We start from the raw sequence: 20093 nt of genomic DNA, 5'->3' as shown, positions 1-20093 counted from the left end.
ACCTTAACTTTCTCAGAATCATTCTTAGTAAATAAAGTATACCTTAAACACTATAGATCACATTGGAAAAACTGCAGCAAAAAATTTACTATGCTAAATATATATATATATATATTTATATAAATATGTAATATGAAAAATTTAAAAATAGAGTGTTTACAAAGATTGATACTATTGTTAGATAAGCTGGTAAATATTTTGTACCTTGAGATAAATGAAACTTCAAACAACAATTGGATTTTAGAGCACGTATCTTGGTCTGCATATATTGGAATGCAATTATTGACCTGCATAAACTGAGCATGAAAGATCAAGAGAAACCTGATATTTAAACATAGTACCAGTCTATCATTTTTCCCCCCACTGGCATGACATCTAATAACAAAAATAAAACAAATTTCTGTGAGTCAGACTGCTTCACAGGTCTGCCACTGGACTGGAACATTGCAGAGCATATTCTCCTGCTGGTTTCATGATTTGACTTAAGTTACTCACAATTTGGGCAGCTTGGTGCCTTCATAGCTCTCCCAATCGCTTACTAATGTCAAGTAGGAGTGAGTTAAACCTACTCTAAGGGAGTAGCATAGGAGTTCAATACATTTCTCCTTCCATAAGACATCTTATTCTTATGCCTCTTCACATATGATCTTTCTAATTCGCTCTCAATTCTATTCCTCTTCTGTCCTCTGGGACTTTGTCCAATTATTCTTTCCATTTCTTTCTTCTGCATTTATCTATCACCAGTCCAAAGGGTCAATAAAAATGTTCAATTCTTTTATATTCTAAAAAAAGTATCTTAATCTTGCTTCTAATTCAAATATCATACTTTTATCTTTTACAAAAAAAGTCTCAAAAGTTGAATGTAGCTTTTCTGATTTCAATTTCTCATATTCTACTAATTCCTCAAAATACTGCAATCTTATTTTGTCCCATAAATTGACCTTACAAGGGAAATTAATGACCTCTAAGTTGCCAAAATCAACCAGTCCCTTCTTAGGTTTCATTCCTATAAAATTGCTGCTGTTTGTCAGTAGCTTTTTGAGACTCACTTCGTCTTTAATTCTGACAATAATTAAAGACTCCTCTCCTTTTATCTCTCTTGATGTTCTTACCCAATTTTCAAACACGCGTTCTTTACTTGAATATTTATTTAAAGCATTTTCCATGTTAGGTGCTAGTATGTGTGTTGGCTTCCCTTTCTCATCTGACATCACTCTATGTTCTTCATTGTATCAATTTTTCTCTTCTTATCTGCTTCCTTTCTTTGCAATGTTTCATATATACCTTTGACATTTATCTATAATGGCCAAATCACTGTTACAGATTCTAGCACCTCCTCTGAAGTCTAAGACTATATTTCCAAATTTCTATTGAAAATGTTTGTGAAGTTCTCCCATTGCCACTGAAAATGTTTGCTCTTCACATATGAAATAATAATATTATCTTCCTTATCTGCTCTTTTTCATTTTCTGACTTCGAAATTCTCTTCTAATTTACCAAGTTAACCAAGTTAGTGATCTTGAGGTCCTCCTTGACAACTGTCTCTTCTTTTAACCCCACATACAATCTTTGCCAAGCCGTAAAGTCTATGTCTCCCAAGTGTCTTGGTGACTTTTTTATTCCATTCCAAAACAAACTTCATAGATGAGATTGTAAGTGTATCTGATACCTATCATTTTTTCCCTACATTCTACCAGATTGCTACTTGAATTTTCTTCATTACAAAATATCTTGTCCTTTTAGTCTATTGCTCCAATGTCTTCTATAATTTAGATTAAAATTCTAAATATCACTCATTTAAAGTCCTGTCTTTCATGTGTAATATTATCTAAATTTTTCTAAAATGTCTCTTTTCCTAATAGAATCCTTTCTAGTCTTCAAGATTTAGGGCAAAGGCCAAGCCCTTCATGAAGCCTTTTCTGAGGTTTTGAGTCAGAAGGGATTTCTATCCAGTTAAGACTACAGCTCAATTAGAGTTCTTACTAAAACATGTCATATAGTGCTGTAAAATTTCTTGATGGCACAAATCTCAAGTAACAGTACAGTTCTTGGCACACTTACTTTTCCTAAGACTTTGGTGAATTGAATCTTTGAAATCTCTGTGTTCGTCTGTATTGATTGTATGGTGAATCAGTTAATATTGGCACCTCTGGCCTACAAAGTTTTGGTTATAAGACCAATCTTGAGGCTGTGATGATACTAAGATGACTTCTTTTTATTGCTTTCCTCTCTAAGTTTAGGAGATTCTATACAAAACTGCAGCAAGGCTTAGTTGCCTGAACTTGATTCTCAGAAGTGAACACTTTTCTACTTGTCTAGTGTTTGCTCAGGTTATATAATCTTATTGTGTACTCTTTAGTCAGCAGATGGAGATAATTCCACTTATCACTGGCTTTTCTCATGGGGGAATTGTTTCCGTGATCCCTTGAGCAAATTTCTTTCTCAAGTCGCAGTTTTCAGAGCATTGGCATTCTATCATGGGCTATTTGGACGGAATAGTTTCTTGAATTGCAACTATCACCAGACGGTGTTGTGGGTTTTTTTTTTTTTTTTTTTTGAGAGAATGCTAAAATGGGATTCTGAAGACCTGAGTTCTAGTTCTGATTTTTAAAATAAAAGGCACCATTTCAATTTGTTTGTATGTATTGTATAAAATGTAATTAGAAGAATATTTCTATATGTCTCCATAAGTAGGTATGGAGATTAAAATATTTTATTTTCCAATCTAAAATTGGCATCTTAGTTTTGTGACCTACCTATAGTGTTAGTTTTAGCTTCTACTTGCTAATCTGTAAAAGGAAATAATAATTCTTACATTAGATAATTGTTATAAAGATTGAATAAGATAAAGTTTAAGGCCCATATTTTCTGTTACATAGTCAGAATGCAATAGAACATAGCCATACACTACTATGAAAAGTCTAAAGTGCATTTATTATAACAGCATAAATTAGGAATTTTTCATCAAAAAATTTTGAATAGAAATTAAAGGGATCATGAACTTCAATAAGAAAAATATTACATCTTTATTAATTAATTTCTAGTGGAAATTTAGCATTTCCTTCTATAATGAATGAAGATGACAAACTATGGTAGGACTATCATTCTCTATAATGTTATCACCAATAAAAGCCACAGATATTGTCATATATGATGGTTGTTGCAGATATTTCAAAATACAATGTACATTCATCACTACTTCAAAATTACCGTACATATTAGATCTGCTGCTAGATCTTATTATTTAATGTCATAAGGAAGCACATATATAAGTATATGTCAAATATCTACTTACAAATATACTAACATTAAAATATAATTGGTATCCACTATAATATCATATATTTTAGTTTGTACTTTTAAACATTATTTTGGAAAACAGTTCAAATGATTCACCAGGCTGCAAAAGAAGTATGGCACAAAAATGTTTACGAACCGTCGTCATAAGTTATTGAGCACAACGACAGTAAAACTGGATGAAGTCTATGAAACCCTTCATATTCAAAGGAATTCTTTTTGTGTATGTAATTATTATTTTTGAAATGGAGCAGCTCTTCAAAGCTGACCAATTTTGGCCAAACCTACCACACAAAAATGTCCTTCTAATTACCCCTGTTCAATGCCTCCAGCTGCCTACGGCATAAACACTTCAAACAGCTACTCAGCCTTCCTGAGTTTGAAATGGGTTCTTAATTAAAATGGGAAGCAATTACAACTTTATTTATGCCATGGGAACTTAAAATACTTGCCTCTAATATAAAACTGAGGGAGAGCCTATTTTTTGGTGCCAGTGCATAACACCATGGTTGTTACTTTGTATGTTTGTTGAATTTCTTTACAGTTTTTATTTTCTGGGAGCAGTAAAACTGGGATAACATATATCTATATTTTATCTGTATTCAGATATAGATGATAATGATATTCATATAGATATGGATGATATAGATATAGATAGATATAGAGATAGGTTTTCAGTTTGCTCTCAGGGAACATTTAGAAGTTTGTGAAATTTGTCCTCAGTTTTTTTTTTCCTTCAGTTTCTTTTTCCTTTCAGGTTCAAAGTGCATTACTAACATGAGAAACCACCAATGTGTGACATTGTTCTCTCAGGAACATTTTAATGTGAAATTTCTGGATTTAGTAATTAAAAATGTAAATGAATATGTAAATGTTTATTATATATGTATTTGTTTATATTATGTATATAGGTAGAGTGGCGATCCAATTAGAAAGAAATTTGGAGACAAAAAATATTTTATACCTCACAAACCATGTACTGTTAGTGGCTGACTTTTCACTCTATGTCTAGAAATACGCTGGTTGTGCACTAGATATAATATATGCATGGATGTGAAAATACCATACAAGCCCAAATCTCTGCTTTTATTTTATTATGAAAATGTAGTAAATGCCATTTATTTGTTTGGTGAATATAAACGAGCTTTCTCAATGTGCTAATTCTTCATTCATTGTATGAAGAACTTGTGGTTCTTTTAGATCTCTGCTGTTAGTTTTATAGCAATGTTCCATTGTCAAGAGAGAAATTTAAAAGCTGTAGGCATAAAACCACCTGAACTTATGTGGCTTTTGTTTAGTTTACATACATTGGTATGGCAATGGCAATTCACCATCTGAACTATTTCTGGGAAATCAATTATTACTTTCAATATTTTACAGGGATTTTTAGTTTTCATTGGAAAATATTAAAACAATTTAGTGTATACTCCAATGCCATAGTGATGGCTATTCAGAGATTAATGTAGAAGGACAGATATTTTATAATAACATTTTTAGTAAAAGAAAACAATAGAGATACTTGTTTAAAAGTATCCAAGATTACTGGAGCCATCGGCTATCCCTTTAGGTAAATTTTATTTACACTGAAAGAGTTCATTACAAAAATTGCCCACGTTAAAATAATGGGAAATATTCTTTCAGATGAGATTAAACAATTATCCAGTTCTTTAGAAATCAAAAGTAAAACGTGATATTAAGCCCACTTGGATAGAAAATTGATCTAAATAAATTTCCTTTCTCCTGAAAGTTCATTCAAAAACATAGTGATTTCGAAATGCGTATTTTGCATTTGCTCATTTTAAATCATTACCTAAAACATATATAACAATTCTGTAAATACACAAACAAATGGTAGAAACAAAAGCCTAAGGTGATCAAAGTGAAAGTGTTCTTTCTCATTTCTACTTTATATCTACCAATTATTTGAAGCATTTGTCTTCCTAAATGAATAGCCATGTTTGGAGCCAGAGGTCTGAAAATAATTAAAGCATATCAATCTGATATTTCCAAAAGAGGGAATTTTGCTGCCTTTAAATAGTCTAATTATATTTATAATCACCATCTGTCTATTCCTACTTTCTATTTGCTGGAACTTTCCCTAGAGTTTCTCAAAACCACTGTTCTAATTAGATATACCTACAAGGTAATTCTAGACAAGATAATTCTGTTGTAGGAATTAGGGTTGGGTTGGGGAGGTTGGTGACTAAAACCACCCTTATTAGATAGTGTCCTACAGTATTTTTGCAAAAGAGGATATTTCACATCCTATCAAATTTTAATTTTTGGATTGACCTCAATAAAATGAGTTTCTGGCACTAGTTGTGAAACCAGTGTTTTAGAAACAATCAACTTTATGTAGTAAAAACAAAACAAATAAAAAACACTATAATATAGCCTACTGTCCACCAATTGTGGGCTATTTCTAGACATAAATTTTATTACAGCTCCCAAATAACAATGACAATCAATTGCTCTTATGACTCCAAAGCTGCCTGGTGTCACAGTTAATAATTTTTTGTTATGGTTCCTTTGCTTGGAAATTTTCATAACATTATAACATATTTTCTTTTTTTATTATACTTTAAGTTCTAGGGTACATGTGCACAACGTGCAGGTTTGTTACATATGTATACACGTGCCATGTTGGTGTGCTGCACCCATTAACTTGTCATTTACATTAGGTATATCTCTATCCCTCTCCACTCCCCCCACCCCACAACAGGCCCCAGGGTGTGATGTTCCCCACCCTGCATCCAAGTGTTCTCATCGTTCAATTCCCACCTATGAGTGAGAACATGCGGTGTTTGTTTTCTTTGTCCTTGGGATAGTTTGCTGAGAATGATGTTTTCCAGCTTCATCCATGTCCCTACAAAGGACATGAAGTCATCATTTTTTATGGCTGCATAGTATTCCATGGCGTATATGTGCCACATTTTCTTAATCCAGTCTATCATTGTTGGACATTTGGCTTGGTTCCAAGTCTTTGCTATTGTGAATAGTGCCGCAATAAACATACGTGTGCATGTGTCTTTATAGCAGCATGATGTATAATCCATTGGGTATATACCCAGTAATGGGATGGCTGGGTCAAATGGTATTTCTAGTTCTACATCCTTGAGGAATCGCCACACTGTCTTCCACAATGGTTGAACTAGTTTACAGTCCCACCAACAGTGTAAAAGTGTTCCTATTCCTCCACATCCTCTCTAGCACCTGTTGTTTCCTGACTTTTTAATAATCGCCCTTCTAACTGGTGTGAGATGGTATCTCATCGTGGTTTGGATTTGCATTTCTTTGATGGCCAGTGATGATGAACATTTTTTCATGTGTCTTTTGGCTGCATAAATGTCTTGTTTTGAGAAGTGTCTGTTAATATCCTTTGCCCACTTGTTGATGGGGTTCTTTGTTTTTCTCTTGTAAATTTGTTTGAGTTATTTGTAGATTCTGGATGTTAGCCCTTTGTCAGAGGAGTAGATTGCAAAAATTTTCTCTCATTCTGTAGGCTGCCTTTTCACTCTGATGGTAGTTTCTTTTTCTGTGCAGAAGCTCTTTAGTTTAATTAGATCCCATTTGTCAATTTCGGTTTTGGTGCCATTGCTTTTGGTGTTTTAGACATGAAGTCCTTGCCCATGCCTATGTCCTGAATGGTATTGCCTAAGTTTTTTTCTAGGGTTTTTATGGTTTTAGGTCTAACATAGGTCTTTAATCCATCTTGAATTAATTTTTGTATAAGGTGTAAGGAAGGGATCCAGTTTCAGCTTTCTACATATGGCTAGCCAGTTTTCCCAGCACCATTTATTAAATAGGGAATCCTTTCCCCATTTCTTGTTTTTGTCAGGTTTGTCAAAGGTTGAACCCATTGCAAAGAAGCTAAAAACCTTGAAAAAAGATTAGACAAATAGCTAACTAGAATAAACAGTGTAGAGAAGTCCTTAAATGACCTGATGGAGCTGAAAACCATGGCTTGAGAACTACATGATGAATGCACAAGCTTCAGTAGCCGATTCGATCAACTGGAAGAAAGGGTATCAGTGATTGAAGATCAAATGAATGAAATGAAGCGAGAAGCGAAGTTAGAGAAAAAAGAGTAAAAAGAAATGAACAAAGCCCCCAAGAAATATGGGACTATGTGAAAAGACCAAATCTAAATCTGATTGGTGTATCTGAAAGTGATGGAGAGAATGGAACCAAGTTGGAAAACACTCTGCAGGATATTATCCAGGAGAACTTCCCCAACCTAGCAAGGCAGGCCAACATTCAAATCCAGGAAATACAGAGAATGCCACAAAGATACTCCTCGAGAAGAACAACTCCAAGACACATAATTATCAGATTCACCAAGGTTGAAATGAAGGAAAAAAATGTTAAGGGCAGCCAGAGAGAAAGGTTGCGTTACACACAAAGGGAAGCCCATCAGACTAACAGCACATCTCCCAGCAGAAACTCTACAAGCCAGAAAAGAGTGGGGGCCAATGTTCAACATTGTTAAAAAAAGAATTTTCAACCCAGAATTTCATATCCAGCCAAACTAAGTTTCATAAATGAAGGAGAAATAAAATCCTTTACAGACAAGCAAATGCTGAGAGTTTTTGTCACCACCAGGCCTGCCCTAAAAGAGCTCCTGAAGGAAGCAATAAACATGGAAAGGAACAACCGGTACCAGCCACTGCAAAAACATGCCAAATTGTAAAGACCATCGATGCTAGGAAGAAACTGCATCAACTAACAAGCAAAATAATCAGCTAACATCATAATGACAGGATCAAATTCATACATAACAATATTAACCTTACATGTAAATAGGCTAAATTCTCCAATTAAAAGACACGGACTGGCAAATTGGATAAAGAGTCAAGACCCATCAGTGTGCTGTATTGAGGAGACTCACCTCACATGAAGAGACAAACATAGGCTCAAAATAAAGGGATGGAGGAAGATCTACCAAGCAAATGGAAAACAAAAAAAGGCAGGGGCTGCAATCCTAGTCTCTGATAAAACAGACTTTAAACCAACAAAGATCAAAAGAGACAAAGAAGGCCAATACATAATGGTAAAGGAATCAGTTCAACAAGAAGAACTAACTATCCTAAATATATATGCACCCAATACAGGAGAACTCAGATTCATAAAGCAAGTCCTTAGAGACCTATAAAGAGACTTAGACTCCCACACAATAATAATGGGAGATTTTAACACCCCCCGGTCAACATTAGATAGATCAAGGAGACAGAAAGTTAACAAGGATACCCACAAATTGAACTCTGCTCTGCACCAAGCAGACCTAATAGACATCTACAGACCTCTCCACCCCAAATCAACAGAATATACATTCTTCTCAGTACCACATTGCACTTATTCCAAAATTGACCACTTAGTTGGAAGTAAAGCACTCCTCAGCAAATGGAAAAGAACAGAAATTATAACAAACTGTTTCTCAGACCACAGGGCAATCAAACTGGAAATCAGAATTAAGAAACTCACTCAAAACTGCTCAACTCCATGGAAACCAAACATCCTGCTCCTGAATGACTACTGGGTTCATAACGAAATGAAGGCAGAAATAAAGATGTTCTTTGAAACCAATGAGAACAAAGACACAGCATAGCAGAATCTCTGGGACACATTTAAAGCAGTGGGTAGAGGGAAATTTATAGCACTAAATCCCACAAGAGAAAGCAGGAAAGATCTAAGTTTGACACCCTAACATCACAATTAAAAGAACTAGAAAAGCAAGAGTAAACACATTCAAAAGCTAGCAGAAGGTAAGCAATAACTAAGATCAGAGCAGAACTGAAGGGGATAGAGACACAAAAAACCCTTCACAAAATCAATGAATCCAGGGCTGGTTTCTTGAAAAGATCAACAAAATTGATAGACCGCTAGCAAGACTAATAAAGAAGAAAAGAAAGAAGAGCCACATAGGTGCAATAAAAAATGATAAAGGGGATATCACCACCAATCCCACAGAAATACAAACTACCATCAGAGAATACAATAAACACCTCTACGCAAATAAACTAGAAAATCTAGAAGACATGAGTAAATTCCTGGACACATACACCCTCCAAGACTAAATCAGGAAGAAGTTGAATCTCTGAATAGACCAATAACAGGCTCTGAAATTGAGGCAATAATTAATAGCCTACCAAACAAAAAAAGCCCAGGACCAGACGGATTCACAGCTGAATTCTACCAGAAGAACAAGGAGGAGCTGGTACCATTCTTTGTGAAACTTTTCCAATCAATAGAAAAAGAGGGAATCCTCCCTAACTCATTTCATGAGGCCAGCATCAGCCTGATACCAAAGCCTGGCAGAGACACAACAAAAAAAGAGAATTTTAGACCAATATCCCTGATGAACATCGATGCAAAAATCCTCAATAAAATACTGGCAAACTGAATCCAGCAGCACATCAAAAAGCTTATCCACCATGATCAAGTGGGCTTCATCCCTGGGATTCAAGGCTGGTTCAACATACGCAAATCAGTAAATGTAATCCAGCATATAAACACAACCAAAGAGAAAAACCACATGGTTATCTCAACAGATGCAGAAAAGGCCTTTGACAAAATTCAACAGCCCTTCATGCTAAAAACTCTCAATAAATTAGGTATTGATGGGATGTATCTCAAAATAATAAGAGCTATTTATGAGAAAGCCACAGCCAATATCATACTGAATGGGCAAAAACTGGAAGCATTCCCTTTGAAAACTGGCACAAGACGGGGATGCCCTCTCTCACCACTCCTATTCAACAGAGGGTTGGAAGTTCTGGCCAGGGCAATCAGGCAGGAGAATTAAAGCGTATTCAATTAGGAAAAGAGGAAGTCAAATTGTCCCTGTTTGCAGATGACATGATTGTATATTTAGAAAACCCCATCTTCTCAGCCCAAAGTCTCCTTAAGCTGATAAGCAACCTCAGCAAAGTCTCAGGATACAAAATCAATGTGCAAAAATCTCAAGTATAAGAATTTATACACCAATAACAGACAAACGGACAGCCAAATCATGAGTGAACTCCCATTCACAATTGCTTCAAAGAGAATAAAATACCTAGGAATCCATCACACAGGGGATATGAAGGACCTCTTCAAGGAGAACTACAAATCACTGCTCAACGTAATAAAAGAGGACACAAACAAATGGAAGAACATTCCATGCTCATGGATAGGAAGAATCAATATCACGAAAATGGTCATACTGCCCAAAGTAATTTATAGATTCAATGCCATCCTCGGCAAGCTACCAATGACTTTCTTCACAGAATTGGAAAAAACTACTTTAAAGTTCATATGAAACCAAAAAAGAGTCTGCATTGCCAAGTCAATCGTAAGCCAAAAGAACAAAGCTGGAGGCATCACGCTACCTGACTTCAAACTACACTACAAGGCTACAGTAAACAAAACAGCATGGTACTGGTACCAAAACAGAGATATAGACCAATGGAACAGAACAGAGCCCTCAGAAATAATACCACACACCTACAACCGTCTGATCTTTAACATATTTTCAATAAATAAAAGTGAAAGCATCTTTGGTAACTCAGTAATCCCATTCAGAATAAAGGCCTTATGCTACTCTCAAGGGAAAATTTTACTTCATAATTGCATTAAACCAGTGTACAAATGGACTGGATCAGTCTCAGCAAAAGCTGAAAATTTGTGAAAGCACGATTTTGCCATCTGAAGCCTTCTTATCAATGTTATACTGTTGTACAGTGATACCCAATGCTGTATGTTTTATCCTCATCTATCACCATATCCACTTTGCTCCATTAAAGCCTGCTTCTATCATCTACACAGTGAATTGAACATGACAGACAATAGACAAGATACTTATTGAATAAAGTAATGATTAAAAGATAGATCCTGACACCTGACATGAATACTGTAAATTTGAATTTGAGTCAATGTAGTATCTCTCCTAAGGATGCTTGTATGTTAAGAATTATTTCTAATTTTAAATATTTAATGTGCTGATCAAAGAATTTTAGACAACAGAAACAAAGTAAAAATATTTAGTAGAAAGGAGGCTTTTTAAAGGTTGTTTGAAGGCCATAAGTTACGGTGCAAAGCATCACTCAAGAGTCTGAATCCCTCACATGGCAACTTTAAGAAGATGATTCTGAGTTACTGTGAATCTGACTTTTTTCCATCTATAATACAATGCTAATAACAACCTTCAAGGATGTTATAATGACTAAATGAAAGAATAGTCTAAAAGATGAACAAATGTCTAAAAGATAAAAAACACTTAATAAATGCAGACTTCCTTTCCTTGAAGTGATATTATATTAGCAACCACTATCACAATTAACATGTATGATTATCCTTATCCAGAGTTTAATAGGCAAATATAAATGAATATAATTTTACATTTTATGTTATTTTGAATTATGTAGATCAACTTTACGGAAATGGTAGGTTTTTCCAAATCTTTTTATTCCCATTGAAGTTTTGGCTATCATCGTTGTCATCAAAATATCATTAGCCAAAATGCTTTGTCCTACACTAGTTTATTTGTTGGCACAACCTGACAGAGAGCAGCAGCTTTTAATTCCTTGTAAGTCAGTGGTCCTGACAACATTAATCTCAGTATTACTAATTTAAAATAATTTTAATGTATATTTACTCACAGCGACACTTTTCATGGTAAATTATGTCAGCTCAGTAAATTACAGTTGTTGGTCACAACTCAGGGAAGGTGTCTAGGAGATTTATACTGTTTAGGAAAGATAAACCCTTGTCTTACCATGACCCAAAAGAGTTACACACTATTTTTAATAAAAAAATAGGGTATAGAAAACCCGTCAGAAAACAAAAAAATACTCATAAAAAGCATTTTAGAAAAACAAAGACTAAAGAGAAAGATGATTCTTACCTATATCTTCAATGATCATTAAATGAACTATGCAACATTTACCAAATCCTGAAAAACTTTGTTGAATAGACACCCTATGCATGTTGAGGCTCTTCAGAGTGAGCAAAAGCAGGCAGATTTTGTAGGGGGATGGAAATTTGGAAGAAGCAATTGACATGGATTGAATTTCTCCATGTTATGGCTTTATTCTGAGAGCAGATTGCAGTACAGCAATAGCAACTATATTGAGATAAAAACCTACCATTGTATTAACCTGATGAACTAGAGGACAGAGTCTATGACAACCACTACAACCACTGCCACACGAAAGTGATAAGACTGCAAACTGTGCCCAAACCTCTGCCTGATTCTGCAGCTGCTCATGCACCAGGGCACAAGGGAGACTTAAAAAAGACTAGCTAAGGAAAACAGAATTGGTAAGATTTAAGCTGCTGCCCATTGCATACAAAACAGAGCTTTCAGTTTGATTCTAAATAAGTTATTGTCTTGCTAAAACCAAATGAAATTTTTCAGGGAGATGAAAAAGAATCTATATTCTCCATGGCACACCCTGTACAAGTTCCAAAGTATAATTCAAAAATATTAGATGAAAAATATTTTTAAACGATGCTTCTTCTAAACAGTAAAGGCAGTTAATAGATGTCAACCTCAAGATTACCAAGATCTTGAAATTATCAGACAAGTACTTTAAAGTTGCTATTATTGCTATGCTCAACTAGACAGATTTGTAAGCTTATAATGAATAAAATGATAAGATATATCAGAAATTAAAGCTATAAAAAGCTCCAAATGAATACTCTAGAATTGAAAAATACGAGTGTTTTAAAAAAAATCACTGGAGAGGCATAATATCAAAAATTCAGTAAACTTAAAGATACAGCAATTGAAATTATTTAATCTGAAGAAGAGTAAAACTGAGAGCTATAGCTATAGTTAATATTATGATATTTACACATTATAGTATATATTATATTGCATTTTATGTTATATTGTATTATTATGCATACATTAGAGAGAGAAAGATTGACAGATTGCCTCAGGGACCTGTTTGACAGTATCACATGGCCAGAAATAAACACAATTGGAGTTCCAGAAGGAAAAGTGAGCAGGAAAGGGGAAGAAAACAATTATTTGAGGAAATAACAGTCAAAACTTTCCACATTTGGTGAAAGACATAAATTTACACATTAAAGAAGGGCAGCAAATCCGAAAATAGATCAATATGAAAAAAAATCCTAGATTCCCACAAATTGCTCAAAATAAAAGGTAAAGAAAAATATCCTGAGAGCAGCCTCAGAAAAAAACAGCCATTATATAAAAAAAACCATAGAATTTAGAGTAACTGCAGACTTCTCATCATAAACCATGTAGAACAAAATGTTTAATGTGTCAAAAAGTTAAAATCTGTCAATACTGACAGATAAAATAATTAAGTCTAAATAAAATAAAATTCTACTTCACACACCATGTAATAAAAATAAGGTTTTTATTACAGAAGGATGTTATTGAATTACACATCTTGGCAATCAGAGGTTGCAGGGTGTGCTATCAGAACTATAGTAGATTGCTTGGAGCAAAGATCAACCACGCAATTTCCATATTACCTTATTCACATTTATCATTGATACATATTCAATTTTAGACTGTACTAATTTCATGCACATGTATTACCTTTCCTACATAATAAATTGCATGAAGAATGAGCTGTGTCTTCTTTTTACCCTTTATGTTCCCATAGAACTTTGCACTTAGTAAGTATGCAAAAATAACAGTTGAATAACTAAACCTCATAAATAAATACTATCATTATGTCAGGGTGAAATAGACAAATTATTCTCTAATATTGACAGGTATTTGTGCATGTGTGATTTTCCTCTCTAATGTAAATATCCATTCAGATGAGACTAAAAGGTAAATTATTTGTTTAAGTAATTGATAGTCAATCAAAGATGGATTTTATGCATTTTCATTAAATCACAGGTGTGTTAGTCTGTTCTCACACTGCTAATAAAGACATACCCAGGACTGGGTAAAGGAAAGAGGATAAATTGACTCACAGCTCCACATGGCTGGGGAAGTCTCACAATCATGGTGGAAGGCGAATGAGGAGCAAAGTCACGTCTTGCATGGTGGCAGGTAAGAGAACTTGTGGAGGGGAACTCCCATTTATAAAACCATCTGATCTCATGAGACTTATTCACTATCACAAGGACAGCACAGGAAAGACATGCCCTCAGGATTCAATTACCTCTCACCAGGTCCCTCTCACAACACATGGTAATTATGGGACCTTCAAGATGAGATTTGGGTGGCAACACTGCCAAACCATATCAATTAGTACCCTAAAAGTATATGTCACGAAACAAAGAAATATTAAAAACCCAAGAACAAGTGGTTAAATCTTCTAACTAGTTTTATTCATTCCTTCAGCTATGTTCAGTAGCTCACATTGCATACATGCATTTACCTTCTCAACTTTCTTTCTTTTTGCTAATGGAAGGCAATCATAGTGCAGTGACTTAAAGACTGGGCTCTCAAGTCAGAATGCGTGAGGTAAATCCTCAATTTATAACTTCCTCATAGCACTGCTTGAATCATTTCCCTAATATATATGCCTCAGTTTTCCGATTTGAAAATAGTTATAATAATGGTACCTACTCTGGAGGGTTGTTGTGAGTACCTAGTACAAAATATATATGTAAAGCCCTAGAGAAGTGCTTGGCATAAGTTAAGACTTTAATAAATTTTAACTATGGTTGTGAGAGTAGAAGTAGTGATAACAGTAGATTACCTACAACAGCAGAAGAATTATTTGAGTTCATTTCTACACTTGCAGAAGCAACAAAATGCAGGTTCTGTTGGCTTTACCTCTCTTGCATTTTTTTTTTTTTTTTTTTTGCGTCGGAGTCTCGCTCTGTCACGCAGGCTGGAGTGCAGTGGCACGATCTCGGCTCACTGCAAGCTCCACCTCCCGGGTTCCCACCATTCTCCTGCCTCATCCTCCCAAGTAGCTGGGACTACAGGTGCCCGCCACCATGCCCGGCTAATTTTTTTGTATTTTTAGTAGATATGGGGTTTCGCTGTGTTAGCCAGGATGGTCTTGATCTCATGACCTCTTGATCCGCCCGCCTCGGCCTCCCAAAGTGCTGGGATTACAGGCGTGATCTCTTGCATTTTTAAAAGATTTCTTTTAAACTACAGGCTGTGTGTACACACACTACATACATGACTCTTGGGCAAACATGAGGGTTTTTAAAGATGCTTTTGTATATATCTTTCTAATTTAGTATCTCTTTTGCCTATATTTTTAAAGTATAATAGAATAAGTTTGAGAGTACGAAAAATTAATTTTTACTTTTTAACATTTATTTTACTAAGACAGAGTATTTTTGTATAGTCAGAGTTTGTTTTGGTTTGGTTATTAATGCTGAAGTCTCTTTGAATATTTGTGAATTCCTTTTGTATTTTTTGTGTGAGAAAATACAAGCTTCCACACCATGGAAAGGAGAGAAGTAATTCCCTCCTTGCAGATAACTGGAAAGAGGATTTACGAAAAAGAATTAAGTGAAACAATATGTAGTGCACACATCCTAAAACTCTGTTTATGACAAATTTGGTTTGGGAAAAAACAAGAGAAGCAGACTGTGAACTGTTTATGAGAATTTTTCTTTCTTTAGAGTAGAAAGAAAACAAATCAAACTGATGATGGTCTGACTCTGATATTGTGAATCAAAGATTATTTTGTACTAGCCAACACAATCCAGCCATCCATCTATTCTATTTTATTAAACATCTTCCATAATTTAGGTAAATTATTTGAGTCCCTACTAATTAGACCTCACTTTCCTCTGGAAATAAGCCAATAAGAGTTAAGAAAATTATCATCATCCATACACAACCAAACACTCACACACACACACACACATTATATATATATATTTATTTATATATAAATATATATATATTATATAAATAAGAAAAGCACAGGAAAAACATGCTCTCATGATTCAACTACCTCTCACAGGGTCTCTCCCATGACACATGATAATTATGGGAGCTTCAAGATGATAATTATGAGTGGGGCAACAGCCAATCCATATCAATAGGTAACCTAAAAGTATACGCCATGAAACAAATAAGTATTAAAAACCCAAGAATAAGTTGTTAAATCTTCTAACTAGTTTTATTCATTCCTTCAGCTATGTTCAGTGGCTAACATTGTATATATGCCTTTACCTTATCAACTTTGTTTCCTTCACATATATATATATATAGAGAGAGAGAGAGAGACAGAGAGAGAGACAGAGAGAGACAGAGAGACAGAGAGACAGAGACAGAGACGGAGATTTTGCTCTGAAGTCCTGATATAGGCAAGGGCTTCTACAAGTGGCTTTATATTACTTTCATCAGGAGTCATCCTGAGAACTAATCTCAGCCCTCTGACCCTCTCCAGTGCAGGAAGAGAGTGACCCATACAACTAAAGCATTGCTCAGAAGGAGGCATTGTCATCTGGCTCAGTTAAGGGGAAGTGGAGCTAGGCCCTTGAGAAATTTCTGTTTCAAGGCCAAGGGTGAAGGGATGGCAGCAGGAAGATGGAGGAGGTGGATATCTACTGCTATTGCCTCCCATTTTTTCCACTCATTCTATAAGCTTTTATTTCATCTTCATTAGGTACCTGATGATACGAAGGAGGGAGCCTGTAAATTTTTGAAGTAAATGCTCAGCAACAGTTTTACAAAACAAACTTACCTAACCAAATAGTTAAGAAAAAGTATATTTTCTTAAAGTGAATAGAAACTGATGGTGAATATAGATTAAATTGCCTTCTTGAGGTTATGCTGGTGTGTGCCAGCATAAGCAAATACTAAGAAAGGGATTGATAACAAGGAGCCTTATCTCAGTGGGACATACAATGAAAAGTAGTAAGGCCAGGGTCACATGTAGATGAAGAGAGAAATTCAAGCATGCATGGTCTTGCATCTGCTTCTTGACCAACTCCTACTCATCTCATGCCACTTTCTCCTCCTTTCATCTCCCTAACCTCAGCTCTTCCCTTCTTCAAAGCTTACAACTCATCAACCTTGTGCGTTTATTTCATTTTCTAGAATGCCTGGAACTCATCTTGAAAAGGATTCTCAAACTTTTGTTGTCTTTCCTTAGATTGCTCTTCCCCTTTTCACCATTTTTCCAGCTTATTTTCAACAATCAGGTTTCAGCTTACGTATCATTTTCTTAACCTCCTTCAAAGGGTCCTTCTCGAAACGCCCTTGCTACAGAAGCCTCCCTCCTTGATATTATATACTGCAGCATCTTCCTTCTCTTCTCTATAGCACTTTTCATAGATTTCCATTACTGTATTTAATTTTTTATTTATTTACACTTTTTCCCCATAAAAAATAGCTTTATCTCCACAAGAAAGGCAACATTTATGCCTCTTCACCATTATATCTTGGTGGTCATCACCATACCTAAAATGCAGAGAATGCTCAGTAAACATTCATTTAATTTACAAAGTAAGAATATAGAAAATTCTGATTTATAGTAAATATAGTGCCAATTCTAGAATTAAGAGGGATTTGGGGATAACATAAAAGCTCCAAATATAACATTATTGTGGTTCACTCTCATATTGATTTAACCAAATAGCAAACTTTGTAGATTTAATTCTGAAATGTGTTTTTAATCATATTCAATTAATTCTTCTTTTTCACAGAATTATAGGACAAAGAAGCCTTTTAGCCATTTTTATAGATGACTAACTGCCCCCACAAATACATCAAATAATTTACATTAGGTATATCAGGTAAAAAATATTCCTTTGAATAATGTTTAATTAGCCAGGTTTGTTTTTTACAAACATTTTACAAGGATATCTTCTCCATACTTGCTTGGTTATTACCATTGGTCTTTTAAAGAAATATCTAGGATAAATGATAGATCATAAAAGGAAAAGATAAAAGAAATACAAAGTATTAAATCAGTGATCTCATGCTATGCCCAGAAAAGATGAAGACTTGATCTTTACAAAAAGCCTGAAAAGAGGTGATGGCTAGAATATGTTTCTGAGTTAGAACTGAGTACCCAAAAGGAATTTTTAAAAGCAAGGAACTAAAAATTAATTTTGAATACATTTTTAGAAAGATGAAAGCAGCACCAAATGCCAAGGAAAAAGAATGGATCTTCCTGTCTACCAATGAGCAGGCAACAGATGCCTTTGTACTGTTCATGTCTTCTTACCCCAGTCCCATGTGGACTCTCTGCAGTAAATACTGTTTGGCTTAACAGTCCATCATTTTCCCCAGTGAAGTCTCCATTTAGAAAGTAAGATTTTGCCCCTGGCTTGCCGGACTTTTGCCCTACATAAAGATAATGAGATTCGAACGGAACAGAAGCTAATTTGTGGGTTTAATATAGTGCTGCTTTTAGATAGTAATAAAATCCTTTTCTAAAACACTAAGTGCACATCAGCATTAACATAAGTCAAACAGTTTCCAGCCTCACATCTGAAGGGTGTTTTTTATTATTTAACTCCCTAGAGATGGCTTAATATCTACAGTGACCTAATAATGACCTGTTTTAGATTCAGATGATACTACTTTACATTTGAGTGGGAACCTAAAGGGTCTTTAGGAATTAGAAAATGTGGCCTGACTTGATGGGTTTGTCTGAGCTTTTCACTTTTAAGTCTTAACAGGAAGGAGACCACTGAATCATTGAATTACCCAGAGTTAAATTTGCTGTATAGACTAGAGACCTTATTTATGTAAAATTAGGTCACATATTTCTCCTTAGCAATTTAAAAAATTTATTTCTATGCTATACAATATAATATTGTGTATCCAATATATGAAAGTTATCCTTCAGTTTGCACCTTTTTTTATGATCTAACACACAAAAGGTATGAATTCAAGTCTCTAATGATATAGGAGAGATCTATAACATCCAGAAAGACCACTAGATCCATATTCCATTCATAATGCCAAATAGCTAGGTCACTGATGAAAGAAGAAATAACCTGTACCCTGTCATGCAAGGAAGACAGGTGGATGACTCTCAGATGAGGATTTTCCTTTTCTTTTCTTTTCTGTCTTTTTCTTTCTTTCCTTTCATTTTATTTGATCCACTGCATTTTTTTCTCATTATATTTTCTCAGTTTTAAACCAGAGGCTACACTACATGGTGAATATATTTGGACTGAATTGTAGGTTTTGGTATCACATGATCAGAACCATTCTTATTTTTCCTAAAATGATAACTTTCCTCACCCACAGGAAAATTCAAATCTTTGATGGAGAGAGCATTTGACAAGAATGAGCTCATAAATGGTGGCATGCAGCTATCATCCTAGAATATTATTGTTTGGAAATGTAAAAGGAAAATATAGTCATATGACACATGCTGTTTATGTCTAACACATTTAATTTAAAATGCTGTACCAGTCTACTCCATCTTTGAACATACTTCATTGTCTACGAAGTGTTTTTTGTTTAACAGCTTCATTGAAGTATAACCAAATTCAGTTAACTACACATATTGAAGGTGTACGATTGGATAAACTTTATTATTATTATTATTATTATTATTATATTATTATTATTTTGAGATGGTGTCTTGCTCTGTCACCCAGGCTGGAGTGCAGTGGTGCAATCTTAGCTCACTGCAACCTCTGCCTCCCAGGTTCAAGCAATTCTCCTGCGTCAGCCTCCCAAGTAGCTGGGACTACAGGCGCATGCCACCACGTCTGGCTAATTTTTGTATTTTTAGTAGAGATGGGGTTTCACCATGTTGTCCAGGCTGGTCTCGAGCTCCTGTCCTCAGGAGATCGCCCGCCTTGGCCTCCCAAATTGCTGGGATTACAGGAGTGAGCCACTGCACCCGGCCGGATAAACGTTAAAATAAGTACACATCCATGAC

At 35.0% G+C, this 20093-nt stretch overlaps 1 long non-coding RNA gene across 1 annotated transcript in view; it reads right to left on the bottom strand.

Annotated features, from left to right (window-relative positions):
• Positions 1-20093, bottom strand: part of NRXN1-DT (NRXN1 divergent transcript) — a 1375317-nt gene that overhangs the window by 1037135 nt on the left and 318089 nt on the right. The gene's annotated exons all lie outside the window — the stretch shown is intronic.

The sequence above is a fragment of the Homo sapiens genome, chromosome 2, assembly GCF_000001405.40.
Source record: "Homo sapiens chromosome 2, GRCh38.p14 Primary Assembly".
NCBI lineage: Eukaryota > Metazoa > Chordata > Mammalia > Primates > Hominidae > Homo > Homo sapiens.
This window is presented reverse-complemented; position numbering and strand designations above follow the sequence as displayed.